The following is a 17304-nucleotide window of genomic DNA, read 5'->3' on the forward strand; positions in this document are numbered from 1 at the left end:
CATATGTCACAACCAAGTGAGGTTATCACAGGATTGCAAGGTTGTTTAACATTCAAAAACGTAGGCCAGGCACAGTGGCTCATACCTGTAATCCCAGCACTTTGGGAGGCCAAGGCAGGTGGATCACCTAAGGTCGGGAGTTTGAGACCAGACTAACCAACATAGAGAAACCCCGTCTCTACTAAAAATACAAAATTAGCAAGGCGTGGTGGCACATGCCTGTAATCCCAGCTACTCGGGAGGCTGAGGCAGGAGAATCGCTTGAACCCAGGAGGCGGAGGTTGTGGTGAGCTGAGATTGCACCATTGCACTCCAGCCTGAGCAACAAGAGCGAAACTCCATCTCAAAAAAAAAAAGTAATTCATCATATTAACAGATTAAAAAAAAAACTCACTTGATTATCTCAATAGATACAGAGAAAAGGGCTGGGTAGGGTAACTTATGCCTGTAATCCCAGCACTTTGGGAGGCTGAGGCAGAGGGGTTGCCTGAGCCCAGGAGTTCAAGACCAGCCTGGACAAAATGGTGAGATCCCCATCTCTATAGGGGAAAAAAAAAAAAAAGAACTAGCCAGGGGTGACTGTGTTTGCCTGTAGTCCCAGCTACTTGGGGAGGCATAGGCAAGAGGATCTCTTGAGCCCAGGAGTTTGAGGATGCAGTGAGCTGTGATTGTGCCACGCACTCCAGCCTGGGCAAGAGAGTGAGACCATGTCTCTTTAAAAACAAAAACAAAAACAAAAAACCTGTTCCTGCTAAAATCTCCTGGCAAACTAGGAAATAGAAGGGAACTTCCTCAACCTGATGATGGGCTTCTCAAGAAATGTATAGCTAACATCATACTCAATGTATAAAAAGCTGAATGCTTTTCTCTAAGCTCAGGTGTAAGGCAAGGGGTTGTAAGTAATTTTTAAGATTACAAAGGAGTTCTAAGACCAAAAAATTTGAGAACTCTTATTCTAGTAGAAGGGAAAATTGGTAATATAGGAGTGGGGAAATACTGCAGTAGTACACATGAGGAGATGCTTCCATCTGACTCGGTTTTTGCAGTCTTTACAAATGCCTACAAGGCCCTACACGATCTGTCCTTCTGCTAACTCCTCTCTGCCCTCATTTTCTACCCTTCTCCACTTGCTCCCTCCGCTTCAGCCACACTGGCCTTCTTGCTGTCCCATAAACACGCCAAGCATACTCACCTCAGGGGCATTGCACTTGCTTTGCCTTCTGCTGGGAATGACTCATTCCTCCTGACATCTGCTTGTTGGCTTCCTCGCTCTTTCAGATGTCTGCTCAAACGTCACTCTCAAATAAGTCTCCTCTGACCTATGCAACCTATCAAAAATAACAACTCTCACCCTGCCCTACTCCAATCCAGGGACTCCCTATAATCTCCCTTTGCTTTTTCACCATAGTATTTTTACCATCTGCCATATTACAAATGTATTTGTCTGTCTGTTTCCTCATAACTAGAATGTAAGCTCAGATACTACTGTATCTCTGGCATTAGTGAATAAATGAATGAATGAATGAATAGGACACAGTGTGAAGGAAGGGCTTTAGATAGGAGCAGGGACACTTCGTGCTCTGTGGCAAGAGCGACTGCAGATTATATGGGTATAAAAGGAGATTGATTGCTGTATCTGGTGAGAAAAGAAGGCAGTTTTCTTCTGATAGCATCTGTTTTCTCTTCACAACAAAACACTTCAAACTGCATATGACTAAAGTCATCCTTGATCTCATCCTTCCTTCACAGCCTGCACCCAACCCTTCAAGTCCTGTTGATTCTCTATCCAAAATATATATATCTATGTATCTTTTTACTTTTTTAATTTTTTTGAGACAGGGTCTTGCTCTGTTGCCCAGGCTGGAGAGCAGTGGTGTGATCGTGGTTCACTGCAGCCTCAAACCCCTGGGCTCAAGCCATCCTCCCACCTCAGCCTCCTGAGTAGCTGGGACTACAGGCATACACACCATGCCTGGCTTTTTTTTTTTTTTTTTTTTTTTGTAGAGACATGTTGCTGAGGCAGGCAGACAAAATATATTTTGAATGCATCCATTTCTCTGTCTCCATAGTCAACACCTTAGTTCAGGCTACCACCAACTGTAGCTAGGACTAACACAATGGCTCCTACTCTTACCTGCTTCCAACTCTTTTTTTTTTTTTCTCCTTTTTGAGGCAGGGTCTCCCTTTGTTGCCCAGGCTGGAATGCAGTGGCACGATCATGGCTCACTGCAGCCTTGACCTCCTGGGCTCAAGCAATCCTACTGTCTCTGCCTCCCAAGTGGCTGGGACTACAGGCATGCACTACCACATGCAACTAACATTTTTTTATTTTTAGTAGTGATGAGGTTTTGCTATGTTGCCTAGACTGGTCTCAAACTACTGAGCTCAAGCAACTCTCCTGCCTCAGCCTCTCAAATTGACAGGATTACAGGTGAAAGCCAAACCACCCGTTGACTTCCAACTCTTAATCCTTTCTAATCTGTTCCCCATCCATCAACAAGAGTGGTCTTCACAAAACAAATCAGACCATATTATTCCCCTGCCTAAAGCCCTCCCTTCAGTAGCAACTCATTGTACTTAGAATAGAATCCAAACACTCACCATAGCCTAAAGACCCTGCGTGATCTACCTCCTGACTACTTATTCTTTCCCAGCTCACATAACACTCCTCTCATTCACTGACTTCTCAGTCCCTCCAACATGTGAAGACCTTTTCCACCTGGGGCCTCTGTACCTGCAACATTCCTTCTTCATGAAATGCTCCTGCCTCTACTCTTGTCATATATGATTCCTTCACAATTAGAGTGGCCCTAACTTAATACCAGCTTGTCCGGGACTTTCCCAGCTTTAGCAATGGAAGCCCCATATCCTAGAACATTCTAGTCCCAGGCAAACAGAGAGTTCATCACCCGATTCTTAACCAAATATCTCCCACTTGTGGAGATCTTCCCTTATTATTCTCCATTTAAAGATTTCCTTTTGTTAGCCTCTATTTCAGACCTCATTTTGTTTCCATCATTACACTTGGACTATTTGCAATTACTAAATTATTATTATTATTATTAGAAATGGGGTCTTGCTCTGTCACCCAGGCTGGATTGCCCAGGCATGATCATGGCTCACTGTAGCCTTGAACTGCTAGACTCAAACAGTCCTCCCACCTCAGCCTCTGGAGTAGCTAGGACTACAGGGGCACACCACCATGCCTGGCTAATTTTTATTTTTTTGTAGCGATGGGGGCTTACTGTGTTGCCTAGGCTGGTCTCAAACTTGTCGACTCAAACTATCCTTCTGCCTCAGACTCCCAAAATGTTGGGATTACAAGTGTGAGCCACCACACCCAGCCCAAAATCTAAATTATTTTGTCTGTTATGGCAGACATTTACAATTTGGCTGCCTAACATACTGTTTCAGTAAAATCTAAAGTTAGAGAGGCAGTCCTGCCTCCTCATGAGGTGGCCAATGGGAGACAGATATTCCCTTTTCCATGCCCTTGTGACCAACTAGATATTCCTGCCTGGGATTTTCAACCTTAAAGAAGCTCAAAAAGCAAAGGGTTGGTCCAGACTTTTTATGGTGGCTGCATCACAGTAGAGAATATACTAGGTGGTAGCAAATATCCATGAGCAGCACAGTCTATCTAGCAGCAAGCCTGATCATGTTCCATGGCAGGGTGCCAGTAACGGTGGCATTGAGTGTCTAGCCAGCAAGTGGTGGCATCCTGAGCTCAATGTTCCTGGAATAGTATTTTGGCTGGGCCTTACTTTGTTTTCCAGCCTTCCTTGTAATTCTGAGTTCCTCAGTACCCTCCAGAAAAATCCCTTTTCTGCTTGAGGAAACTAGAATCAGTTTCTATTATTTGCAACCAAGAACTCTAACTAGAATATCTATTAACTTGAAAAAAATTTTTGTTGTTTTGATGCATCCCTGACAAGAATATAAATTCTAGTCTGTTTTGTTCACCATCGTATCACCAGTGCCTAGCACACTTCCCAACATGTAGCAAGTACTCAATAAATATTTTTTAAGTAAAGAAATGAATGAAAAATCACTAAGGTTACGACAATCTCCAAGGAGGTCACTGCTTTATACAAGTATCTATTTATTTCCGTTTATTATTATTATTATTATTATATTTTGAGACAGGGTCTCACTCTGTCACCCAGGCAGGAGTGCAGTGGCGCAATCTCGGCTCCCTGCAACCTCCACCTCCCGGGTTCAAGCAATTCTCCTGCCTCAGCCTCCCAAGTAGCTGAGATTACAGGTGCATACCACCATGCCCAGCTAATTTGTGTATTTTTAGTAAAGACGGGGTTTCATCATGTTGGCCAGGCTGGTCTCAAATTCCTGACCTCAGGTGATCTGCCCACCTCAGCCTCCCAAAGTGCTGGGATTACAGGCGTGAGCCAATGTGCCTGGCCTATTTTTTTTTTTTCCATTTAACATCAAAGAGGTAAAACAGTAACAAAAAAAAATCCCTATTCCTTTTCTTTTTTTTTTCCTTTTTGAGACAGAGTCTCGCTCTGTTGCCCATGCTGGAGTGCAGCGGCACGATCTCAGCTCACTGCAATCTCTGCCTCCCAGGTTCAAGTGATTTTCCTTCCTCGGGCTCTTTAGTAGCTGGGATTACAGGTGCATGCCACCATGCCTGGCTAATTTTTGTATTTTTAGTAGAGACGGGGTTTTGCCATGTTGGCCAGGCTGGTCTCGAACTCCTGACCTCAAGGGATCTGCCTGCCTCGGCCTCCCAAAGTGCTGGGATTACAGGCATGAGCCACCGTGCCCAGCCCCCTATCCCTTTTGTAACCTAAAACCTACTGCTATGCATATTCTTATAGGATGGGCCATCAATCAAAAATGACTTTATGGCCATGCATGGTAGCTCACACCTGTAACCCTAGCACTTTGGGAGGGTGAGGCAGGCAGATCACTTGAGCCCAGGAGTTAAGACCAGCCTGGGCAACATGGTGAAATTGTCTCTACAAAAATTAGCTTGGCATGGTTGCATGTGCCTGTAGTCCCAGCTACTCGGGAGGCTGAGATGGAAGAATCGCCTGAGCCCAGGAGGTTGTGACCTGCAGTGAGCCCTGATCACGCCACTACACTCCAGCCTGGAAGACAGACTGAGACTGCCACAAAAAAAAAAAAAAAAAAAAAGAAAAAGAGAAAGAAGGAAAAAAAGAAAGAGAAAATGACTGCATAAGAGTTACAATCTAAGAAAATGAGCCCATAAAAGGACAATTTTAAAACATTTTTTATTTAATTATTTAAATTTTCTGTCAAGGCTCTATTGTCCAAATATTTTTCAAAGACCATCAAAATGCACTTTGGGAGGCCAAGACAGGGGGAACACTTGAGCTCAAGAGTTTGAGATCAGCCTGGACAATATAGAAGACCCTGTCTCTTAAAACAAAAATCAAATAAATACTCATAGCCCTATGCCACTCTTCCACCTAAACAAAACTTTCAGAGCAGTGGTCCCCAGCCTTTTTGATACTGGGGACCAGTTTTGTGGAAGACATTTTTTTCCATGGATCTGGGTGGGGATATGGTTTCAGGATGAAACTGTTTCACCTCAGATCATCAGGCATTAGTTAGATTCTCAGATTCTCACAAGGAACCGGCAACCTAGATCCCTCGCATGCGCAGTTCACAAAAGAGTTTGCCTCCTATGAGAATCTAATGCTGCCACTGATCTGACAGGAGGCAGAGCTTAGGTGTTAATGCTCGCTGGCCTGGCCCACCTCTTACTTCCTACTGTGCGGCCCGGTTCCTAACAGGCCATGGACCTGTGTTGATCCATGGCCCACGGGTTGGGAAAACCTGTTCCAGAATATTTCCTGGGGTCAATCTATTTTAAGTCCATGCTTCTATACTGTCTATATTATGCAATTCAGAATGATATTTCTGAGACTATGAAAGATCTTCAATCACCAGAGAAAGATTCAATTATGTTCACTGTACTGTACTTAATTTCATAAAAGCAGATCAACATAACTTAGACAAGTTTTCAACAATGAAATAGAAAATAAAAGGATTTTTTAAATTAACATTAAATTCAATTTGCTAAGTTAATACCAGCTGAGACTTAACTATATTAATTACAACATTCTGCAAATGTGAAGACTAACATATTTGTAAAAGTGATCCTAAATCTTCATTTTACATTGCTCTTTTTTTCGGAAGCCCTAGAAACCTTTTCCCCATGCCGACTATTCCCAACTCACTGTTTTTCTATAGATCTACTGCCCATTATCAGCAAGTCCTCAAAACTGTTTTATGTTTTAGGAAGGTCACTGTCAATTCTCCCAACACCCATCCTGCCTTCTTCAGATTGTATCTTGGTTTTGTTTTCCCACAAACCAATGAAATTAAAAATAAAATAGGACTTAATACTATGTTATAGAACATAACGCTCAAAATTTAGTGTATATCAGAATTACCTGGGAAAATTGCTAAAAACAGGCTCTGGGGTCAGGTAGATCTTAGTTTAAACCCTGGCTCTGCTGCTTCTAACTATGTAACCATGGGTATCACACCTTACCTCATGACCCAATGGGCTCCCCTCAAAGGGAGACAACAGTCATATTTCAGGGTGGATATGAGAATGAAATGTGATTATGGATGTATACTGCTTAGCACATGGTGCCTACTATACTCTAAGTAGTCAATAAATGGGAGCTCTTGTTATTGCGTGGCCCTCATTTTTCCTTTCCATTCTAGTCTCTGTACTGTCTTCAATACTAAAACCCATTGTATTTTCCACATTCTTACAATGTCCACTGACAACACTTTGGAGAGCATGACTTCACAATACTTCCACTAAGCTTCTCTAGAACTCCACATCAGGCTCTCAACAAACTGGTATTAAAAAAAAAAAAAAAACATAAAAATACTTCATTCTTAAAACAGGAAATTTGACTGGGCACAGTGGCTCACGCCTGTAATCCCAGCACTTTGGGAGGCCAAAGCAGGTGGATCACCTGAGATCAGGAGTTCAAGACCAGCCTGGCCAACATGGTGAAACCCTATCTCTACTAAAAATACAAAAAATTAGCTGGGGGTGGTGGTGGGCACCTGTAATCCTACCCACCTGGGAGGTTGAGGCAGGAGAATCTCTTGAACCCTGGAGGCGGAAGTTGCAGTGAGCCGAGATCACACCATCACACTCCAGCCTGGGCAACAAGAGCAAAACTCCGTCTCAAAATAAAAGGGCGATGGGGGGAGGTGAGGGGAATTTAAGAAAACAAAATAAAAAAATAAAAATAAAAACAACTGCAATCATCATCTATTATTATACTATCAAGAGCTCAAACATGGCATGCCCTCAAACTAACTAAAACCTCCCCTGGCTCTCAAAATTTTTTTTTTTTTTTTTTGAGATGGAGTCTCGCTCTGTCACCCAGGCTGGAGTGCAGTGGTGTGATCTGCAACCTCCACCTCTCAGGTTCAAGCGATTCCCCTGCCTCAGCCTCCCAAGTAGCTGGGATTACAGGCACCTGCCACCAAACCCGGCTAATTTTTGTATTTTTAGTAGAGATGAGGTTTCACCATGTTGGCCAGGCTGGTCTCGAACTCCTGATCTCCAGTGATCCACCTGTCTCGGCCTCCCAAAGTGTTAGGATTACAGGCATGAGCCACTGCTCCCAGCCTAGCTCTCAAAACTTTCTAAACCAGCCACTTTCTACCTTCTCAGCAACTTTCAATCACATTACTGCTCTTACTTTACTGAGTCCACCTAATGATATCTGGCTTTTTAGCCAGGCTTTGAATCATCGTCGACTTTTCTGCTGCCTTCACCATACCTATTCTTCCTCAACCCCTTGTTCATCCACCATTGGCAATCTTCAACCCTTACTATCATCCCTGGAGTTCCAAAGTCTCCAATCTCGCTTCCAGGCCAGAACATTCTTGTAGGAAGACACTTCGAACAAGTGCCATGCATGTCTACCTGATAATGCCCTCATAGGACCTTACAAATATCATCTTACTAGGCTTTTAGTAATTCCACAGTCTCCAAAAGTCAATTATAACCTTCTTCACACACTTTTAAGACTCTCGCCTCGCACTCTCCTCTGAATCATCAGATTACTTCAATGTTTACTTTGCGGAGGACATCAAGGCCATTGAGCATCCCCTCACCTATCAGCCTTCTTCATAACTCCACATAGTTTAGTCGTATACTACAATAATTAAGCACTTACACTACACAATAATAGTTAAGTACTATTAATTGATAAGTATTGCTCTACATGTTTTATGTGTAATTAACTCATTCGATCCTGACAACAACCCAAGAAATTGAACACAAGGAGATCATATGACTCACCTACAGTCATATATCTAAAAGTGGCAGAGTCAAGCTATGAATCCAGGCAGTCTGGCCCCAGAGGCTACTTCTCAGACCACTGCGCTCCACTGACTCACATGCTCTTAACTTTTCCCACTGAGCCCTTTCCTTCAATAGGGACTTCGAATGGTGGTCAGATAGGGTTAGTTATCCTTAGCTGTTATGTTTTAACTTTTCCATAAAGGAGAATATATTCAAGGATGATTTGTGAAATTAAAGATTTATAAAATGACTTACTACAAAGCTGCAGTAAACAGTGTGGCACTGGCATAAAGACAGACATATAGACCAATGGAATGGAACACAGCCAAGAAATAACCTCTTGCATATATAGTTAAATGATTTTTGAAAAGGGTGCCAAGACCATTCAATGAAGAAAGGAGAGTTTTTTCAACAATTAGTGGTGGGACAACTGGATTTTACATTCCCACCAGCAATGCACAAGGGTCCCAATTTCTCCATATTGTAGCCAACACTGCTTTGTTCTTTGTCCCAAAGAGCAAAGTTAAAGCCTTCTCTTATACCATATACACACATTAACTCGAAATGAATCAAAGACCTAAACTTAAGAGCTATAACTATAAAACTCTTTAAAGAAAACATAGGGAGCTGAGCCCAATGGCTCACACCTGTAATCGCAGCACCTTGGGAGGCTGAAGCAAGAGGATCGCTTGAGGCCAGAATTTTGAGACCAGAAGAGTAACACAGCAAGACCTCATCTCTATCTCTACAAAAAATAAATTAGCCAGGTGTGGTGGTGCATGCCTGTAGTACTAGCTACTATGGACACTGAGGTGGGAGGATCCCTTGAGGGCAGGAGTTTGAAGTTACAGTGAGCTATGTGATCGCATCACTATACTCCAGCCTGGGTGAGACCCTGTCCCTACTATTTTCTTTTAAAAAGGGGAGGGGGTTGGGGGAGGCACATGACATTGAATCTGGCAATGATTTCTCAGATATGACACCAAAAGCACAAGCAACAAAAAAAGTGGATAAATTAGACTTCATCAAAATTAAAAACTTTTTTGCAACAAAGGGCACAATCAACATAGTGAATAGGCAACCAACGGAATAGGAAAAAAGATTTGCAAATTATTTATCTGATAAGGGATTGATATCCAGAATATATAAAGAACTACAACTCAACAACAACAAAAGAAACAACTCAATTAAAAAATGGGCAAAGGACTTGAATAGACACTTCTCCAAAGAAGATATACAAATGGCCAGGAAGCATATGAAAAGGTGCTCAACATCCCTAATCATTAGGGAAATGCAAATTAAAATTACGATGAGATACCATTTCGTAGTCATCAGATGGATAGTATCAAAATCAGGAAATAACAAGTGTTGGCTATGATATGGAGAAACTGAGACCCTTGTGCATTGCTGGTGGGAATGTAAAATGAACAGTTGCTATGAAAACAGTATGAGAGTTCCTTAAAAAATTAAACACAGAATAACCATATGACCCAGCAATTTTACTTCTGGGTATATACCCTAAAGAACTGAAAGCAGGGCCAGGTGTGGTGGCTCACACCTGTAATCCCAGTCACTTGGGAGGCTGAGAAGGGAGGACTGCTGGAGCCAAAGAGTTCAAGGCTGCAGTGAGCCATGATCACATCACTGCACTGCAGCCTGGGCAACTGAGTGAGACCTGTCTCCAAAAAAGTAAAAGAACTGAAAGCAAGGACACAAACAGATATTTGTAAACCAATTTTTATAGCAACAATATTCACAATTGCCAAAAGATGGAAACCCAAATGTCACAAAATGTGATATATACATACAATGGAATATTATTCTGCCATAAAAAGGAATGAAATTATGATACATGCTACAACATAGATAAAGCTTGAGGACATTATGCTAGTTGAAATAAGCCAGTTACAAAACAAAAAAACCCTGTATCATTCCACTTATCAGAGATATCTAGAATAATCAAATTTATAGAAAGTAGAATGGTGGTTGCCAGAGGCTGGGAGAAGGGGAAAATGGGAAGTTGTTTTATGGGCACAGAGTGCCAGTTTTCCAAGATTAAAAGAGTTCTGGAGATTGGTTACACAACAATGGGAATGTATGTAATACTACTAAACTATACACTTGAAAATGGTTATGATGATAAAGGTTATGTGCATTTTACAATTTAACATAAAACTGATTTTTTTTAAAGAGAATGAAATTCTGATACATGCTACAACACTGATTACCAATGAAAACATTACACTATGAGATATATGCCAGAGATAAAAGGATGATAAAATTCCATTTATATGAGGTACCTAGAGCAAACTCATAGAGGGCAGAAAATAGAATAGTGGTTACTAGGGGCTGGGGAAGGGGGAGAAGATGGGGAGTTATTGTTTATGGGGTACAGCATTTCTGCTTGGGGGCCAGGTGCAGTGGCTCACCTGTAATCTCAGCACTTTGGGAGGCTGAGGAGGGCAGATCACCTGAGGTCAGATATTCAAGACCAGCCTGGCCAACATGGTGAAACCTTGTCTCTACTAAAAATACAAAAAAAATTAGCCGGCCACGGTGGGGCATGCCTGGAATCCCAGCTACGCGGGAGGCTGAGGCAGGAGAATCACTTGAACCCAGGAGGTGGAGGTGCAGTGAGACAAAATTGCGCCACTGCACTCCAGCTTGGGCGACAGAGCAAGACTATATCTCACAAAAAAAAAAAAAAAAAAAAAAAGAGAGAATTTCTGCTTGGGGTAATAAAAAAATCCTAGAGATGGGTAAGTACACTCACAATAAAATGAAGGCACTTAATACCACTAAACTGTATGCTTAAAAATGATTAAAATTGTAAATTTTGTTTTACCATAACAAAAAATGTATAAAAAGAATTAATATATAAATGTGCCACCTGTATTTGTGTCCTAGATCTCTCCTTTCTGATTCCTGGCTAATATTATTCCTATATGTGTCTACTTCATTATCAGTCCCACAGTGGCTACTGCTCTTTCTTCCCAGCCTTTCTCTTCACTTTAAACTTAGAGTCATTAGCTTCCATTTTCTCCTCTATACAGCTGCCCCAGAAATGTACATTTCTCATCCTGATAGCTTCAACTCCTCATTTAGTATTTCCATCTAAATTTCCTCCTTAGCATCTATAACTCAATGTCCAAAACAGAACACATCTATTCCCGCTGAATCCACCCTTCTTTTCAAATTCATTATACTGTTGTCACCATTTCTCCAGTTACTCAGGGTAAAGTCAAAAATAATATCCTCCCAAACACCTATGTCCCTTTTTCTTTCTTTCTTTCTTTCTTTCTTTCTTTCTTTTTTTTTTTTTTTTGAGATGGAGTCTTGCTCTGTCGCACCCAGGCTGGAGTGCAGCGGCACAATCTCAGCTTACTGCAACCTCTGCCTCCTGGGTTCAGGCAATTCTCCTGTGTCAGCCTCCTGAGTAGCTGGGATTACAGGTGCCCAACACCATGCCCAGCTAAATTTTTGTATTTTTAATAGAGACGAGGCTTCAACATGTTGGTCAGGCTGGTCTCAAACTCCTGACCTCAGGTGATCCACCTGCCTTGGCCTCTCAAAGTGCTGTCCTTTATTCAAATCGTCCTGTCATTCATAGCACCTTTTTTTTTTTTTGAGATGGAGTCTCATTCTGTTGCCCAGGCTAGAGTGCAACGGTGTGATCTTGGCTCAATGCAACCTCCACCTCCTGGGTTCAAGTGATTCTCCTGCCTAAGCCTCCCAAGTAGCTGGCATTACAGGCACCTGCCACCACACCCAGCTAATTTTTGTATTTTTAGTAGAGCCAAGGTTTCATACTGTTGGCCAGGCTGGTCTAGAAATCCTGACCTCAGGTGATCCACCCACCTTGACCTCCCAAAGTTCTGGGATTACAGGTGTGAGTCACCGCTCCCAGCCTATAGCACTTTTTTTTTTTTTTTTTTTTTTGAGACAGAGTTTCACTCTTGTTGCCCAGGCTGGAGTGCAATGGAGCGATCTTGGCTCACTGCAACCTCTGCCTCCTAGGTTCAAGCGATTCTCCTGCCTCAGCCTCCTGGGTAGCTGGGATTACAGGTGCCCGCCACCACACCTGGCTAATTTTTTTTTTTTTTTTGGTATTTTTAATAGAGACAGGGTTTCACCATGTTGGCCAAGCTGGTCTCAAACTCCTGGCTTCAGGTGATCTGCCCATCTCAACCTCCTAAAGTGCTGGGATTACAGGCCTGACTCACCATGCCCAGCCAGCACTTTTTTTTTTTTTTTTTTTTGAGTTAGAGTCTCACTCTGTTGCCCAGGCTGGAGTACAGCGGTGCGATCTCGGCTCACTGCAGCCTCTGCCACCTGGGTTTAAGTTCAAGCGATTCTACTGCCTCAGCCAGCCCAGTAGCTGGGGTTACAGATGCTCACCACCACGCCCAGCTAATTTTTGTATTTTTAGTAGAGATGGAGTTTCACCATGTTGGCCAGGCAGCTCTCAAACTCCTGACCACCCGCTTCGGCCTCCCAGTGTGCTGGGATTACAGGCATAAACCACCACGCCCAGCCTCCTATAATTTTTATTATAGTATGTTGTTGTAATTGTTCTATTTTATTATTAGTTATTATTGTTAATCTCTTACTATGCCTAAGTAAAAAACTCCATCACAGGTACATATGCATAGGGAAAAGCATGGTATATATAGGGTTCAGTACTGTCTGCAATTTTAGGCATCCACTGGGGGGTCTCAGAATGTATTCTCTGTGGATAACAGAGGACTACTGTATTACAAACTGCTCTTTAAATTTTTTTTTCTATTTTATGGAGGTATAAATGATAAAATTTGTATATACTTAAGGAGTACAATATAATGATTTACGTATATATTACATGAGGATTACCACAATGAAATTCATTAACACATCCTTCATCACACAGTTACCATTTGTGTGTATGTGATGAGGACATAAACTGCTTTTAATATTTTATTTACAACAAGCCTATTAAGGAGGTAGTTGTTTTATCATGCTCTCCATTTTATAAATTAAAAACTGAGGTCAAGTGGTTGTCTTGTGAACAGTCATACCACCAAGTAAATAAAAGAATGAGGCTGGATACGGTGGCTCACACTTGTAATTCCAGCACTTTGAGAGGCCAAGGTGTTGGCAGCTGCAACTCCAGAGGGCTTGCTGCTGTCATCAAACTGGCTGCAGCAGAGAGGTATGGATAGGGCTGCATGATCCATGGAGCTAGCGGGAGCCCTTCCCCTTCTGAGTTGGGGCAGGAGCTCCCCTGGTGCTGCTGGAGCTACACAAACTGCAGCTGTTAACCTGGGCCTCCTGTTCCACGGAGCAGGCAGAAGCCCTGCCCTCCTGGGTGGGCTTGCAGCCGCCCAAGTTGTGGCTGCAGATCCGAGCCTCCCTGTGGTCTTGTGGGGGCCGGGAGCAGGCAGGATCCCTGCCTTCCCGGGTGCAGCTGCAGCTGCCCTCCCAGGTGCAGGACCTAATAGTCTCTGCAGCCTGCACCCTTGGGGGCCCAGGAAGGCCTCCCCACCACCCCCATATCCCCACTTCTCTCTGCTCTTGGCACCCACTCCAATCTCAGAGTGGGGTTGGGGCAAGTCCAGGTGCTGTTACAGTCCGGGGGCGGATCTGTGTGTGCACCCTCAGGGCAGCACCCTGCCACCTTGACCCCCTCTAGAATTTGGGCACGGAGAAGCAAAAGAGGGGAAGCCAAGTAGGGACTGAGGGTGGTCAGTGCTGGCCTTTAGGTGCACCTTGGTGTGAGCAGCCTGGTGCCATGGACTGCTGAGAGAGACAGACAGGCTCCTGGGTAGAAGGGAGGTTCCTGTAAGTCCCCACCTTCAGGACGGGGAGGGCTTAAAGGCTGGGGACCGGGCTGCTAGTCCCACCCACTGGATGGGGATTTGTGCTGCCTTTTCTCACAGTCCATGAACCAATCAGGAAGCACTTTCTCCCCTCTGAGGTCCATAAAAGGCCCAGGCTCAGCCAGAGCAGGGTAGAGGATGGAGAAAAGATCAGACAACCAAAGAGGAGAGAGGAGCTATGCTGTCTGCTGAAAGCTGGGAAATCAACAGGGAGGACCTGCCTGCAGAGAGGAGCCACCCACTCCAGGGCCTCCTCTCTGCTGAGAGCTGAATACGGGATAAGACAAACTGCCTACAGAGAGGAGCTGCCCCCTGTGGGTCTCCTCTGAGCTGTTCTAACACTCAATAAAGCTTCTCTTCGTCTTGCTAACCCTCTACTTGTCTGCTTACCTCGACGCAGGACAACAACTCAGGCAAAGGCACCACTGGGCAGAAAGGTTTCTGGCCAGAAAAGCAACACCCTAAAGATCCCGCAACAAAGGCAAGAGGATTGCTGGAGCGCAGGAGTTCCAAACCAGCTTGGGCAACACATCAAGACCCCATCTCTACAAAAAATTTTAAAAATTAGCTGGGCATGGTGGTATGCACCTATAGTCCTAGCTACTCAGGAGGCTGAGGTGGGAGGATTACTTGAGCCCAGGAGTTCAACACTGCACTCCAGTCTGGGTGACAGAGCAGAGCAAGACCCTATCTAATTAATTAAATAATTAAAAAAAATAAAAGCATGAGGACTAGAATGCAACTGTTCTAACTCCACTATACCATACTGGCCTTGTGAAATGAATAAATTTTAAAGACAAACCCATAGCCCTACTTGTTTCAAAGCAACAAAGCTGATTTAGAAATGCTAAATGTAGGCCAGGCATGGTAGCTCATGCCTGTAATCCCAGCACTTTGGGAGGCCAAGGTGTGTGAATCACTTGAGTCCAGGAGTTTGAGACTAGCCTGGGCAATATTGTGAAACCACATCGCTACAAAAAATACAAAAAATTAGCCAGGTATGATGGCATGTGCCTATAGTCCCAGCTACTTGGAGGCTGAGGTGGGAGGACTGCCAGAGCCTGGGGAGATTGAGGCTGCAGTGAACTTTAATTGTGCCACGTACCCCAGCCTGGGCTACAGAGAAAGACCCTGTCTATCTAAAAAAAAAAAAAAAAAAAAAAAAACCAAAAACCAAAAACCAAAAAAAGCTAAATGCCTCAGAAACTATCTTTGGCATATCAGCATATAGGCTATAACCCACATGCTTCAGGTATATCTATCAGTGATATGGGAAAGAAAAAAGGAAACAAAAGACTGTATTATAAAATACCTGAAAAGTAATGTTAGGTATATTCTATACATTTATACATTACCATTATCCTGGAGACATTACTTATCCTAGATTACTTTGATGGTGATCCACTCAAACTATTGACTGGAACCTGTTCACCAGCAGTAAGAAGATTTCTGTAGTGACCTGATAACCTATCAGTCAGGTAACCCTACAGTCTAAAGATAGGTTACGCCAGGCGTGGTGGCTCATGCCTGTAATCCCAGCTCTTTGGGAGGCCAAGGCGGGCAGATCACTTGAGGTCAGGAGTTCGAGACCAGTCTGGCCAACATGGCAAAACCCCGTCTCTACTAAAATTACAAAAAATTAGCCAGGCATGATGGCGTGCTTTGGGAGGCTGAGGCAAGAGAATCACTTAAACCCAGGAGACGGAGGTTGCAGTGAGCTGAGATACCACCACTGCACTCCAGCCTAGGTGACACAGCAAGACTCCATCTCAAAAATAAATAAATAAATAAAGATAGGTTATCACATCTTGTTGATCTCTGTAGCTCTAGCATTTAGTAGAGTGACTCATACATATCAGGCATAAAATGTTTATTCAAGAATGAATTGTTGGCTGGGCATGGTGGCTCACGCTTGCAATCCCAGCACTTTGGAAGCCTGAGGTGGGTAGATCACCTGAGGCCAGGAGTTTAAGACCAGCCTGGCCAACATGGTGAAACCCTGTCTCTACTAAAAATACTAAAAATTACCCGGGTGTGGTGGTGCACACCTGTAATCCCAGCTACTCGAGAGGCTGAGGCAGGAGAATCGCTTGAACCTGGGAAGAGGAGGTCGCAGTGAGCCAAGATGGCGCCACTGCACTCCAGCCTAGGCGACAGAGCGAGAATCTGTCTTAAAAAAAACAAACAACAAAAAAAAGAAGAATGAATTCTTAATTAAACTAAATTTGGCCTGGGGATGCCTCTGTACTTGAGTCTTTATATACCAAGTTGCAACCTAACTTAGTACTTAAACTAACTGAAAGCCTAATTTAGAAGTATACTTTTGTATCAAAAAGCTGAGTCTCAGGAAAGCACAGCAGCTGAGCTTCAGTCAACCACAAGCAATCAACTGTTTAAACCATGTTCAAATAAGGCAAACTCAAGGCTGCAACCAACTGGGCTGTCTCTGTACCTCACTTCTATTTTCTGTACTTCATTTCCATTTTCTGTCCATAATACTGCCTGACCACATGGCAAACTGGAGTTTTACTGAACATGTTCTGGCTATGAGGGTTGCTGGATTCACTAGTTATTTTTTTGCTCAAATAAACTCTCCTAAGTTTAATTTGTCTAGTTCTTCTTTTAACAGAATGAAGGAATATGAAGAATACAAAGATACTACCACAGAACACTTTACCTTTGCTTCTTGATCTTTCAGGGAAAACTCCATTAATTCATCTGAAATCTCTTCTGCCTGGTCTTCTCCTAGGTTTGGATTTTTATCCAATTTTGGAACAGTAGTAATGGGACTGCCCAAATATTTCATTTCACTGTCCACCAAGTTTCCATTGTCCTGTCAAGTATATTGACAACATTAAAAACTATTCAAAATATATCAAAGTTCTAAATGTAAGAGCTAAAACTATAAAACTCTTAGAAGAAAAGATAAGGGAAAAAATTCATGACACTGGATTTGGATAATGCCACCAAAAGCACAGGTAACGAAAGAAAAAAACAGATAAATTGGTCTTCATCAAAATGGAAAACTTTTGTGCATCAAAGAACACCATTAAGGGAATGAAAAGGCAACCCACAAAATGGGAGAAAACATTTGCAAGTCTTATATTTGATGAGAGA

The 17304-nt window shown here is 43.1% G+C and overlaps 1 protein-coding gene across 17 annotated transcripts in view, besides 1 other annotated feature; it reads right to left on the reverse strand.

Moving 5' to 3' along the window:
- The window catches only part of CDC25C (cell division cycle 25C), a 53091-nt gene that overhangs the window by 17090 nt on the left and 18697 nt on the right, over positions 1–17304 (reverse strand). For all 17 annotated transcript variants that reach the window (NM_001364026.1, XM_047417954.1, XM_006714739.4 and 14 more), the window contains one exon: positions 16865–17020. In NM_001364026.1, the coding sequence (NP_001350955.1) occupies positions 16865–17020 (156 nt within the window). The remainder of the gene's footprint in view (positions 1–16864; positions 17021–17304) is intronic.
- Positions 4930–5105: a silencer, noted in NCBI's record as "fragment chr5:137642973-137643148 (GRCh37/hg19 assembly coordinates)". NCBI's record gives its function as "represses an EF-1alpha promoter that drives an FKBP-Casp9 reporter gene in an ReSE screen in K562 erythroleukemia cells {active_cell/tissue: K562}" and the evidence as "EXISTENCE:reporter gene assay evidence [ECO:0000049][PMID:32094911]".

This window comes from Homo sapiens, chromosome 5 (assembly GCF_000001405.40).
Source record: "Homo sapiens chromosome 5, GRCh38.p14 Primary Assembly".
In the NCBI taxonomy this organism is placed as follows: domain Eukaryota; kingdom Metazoa; phylum Chordata; class Mammalia; order Primates; family Hominidae; genus Homo; species Homo sapiens.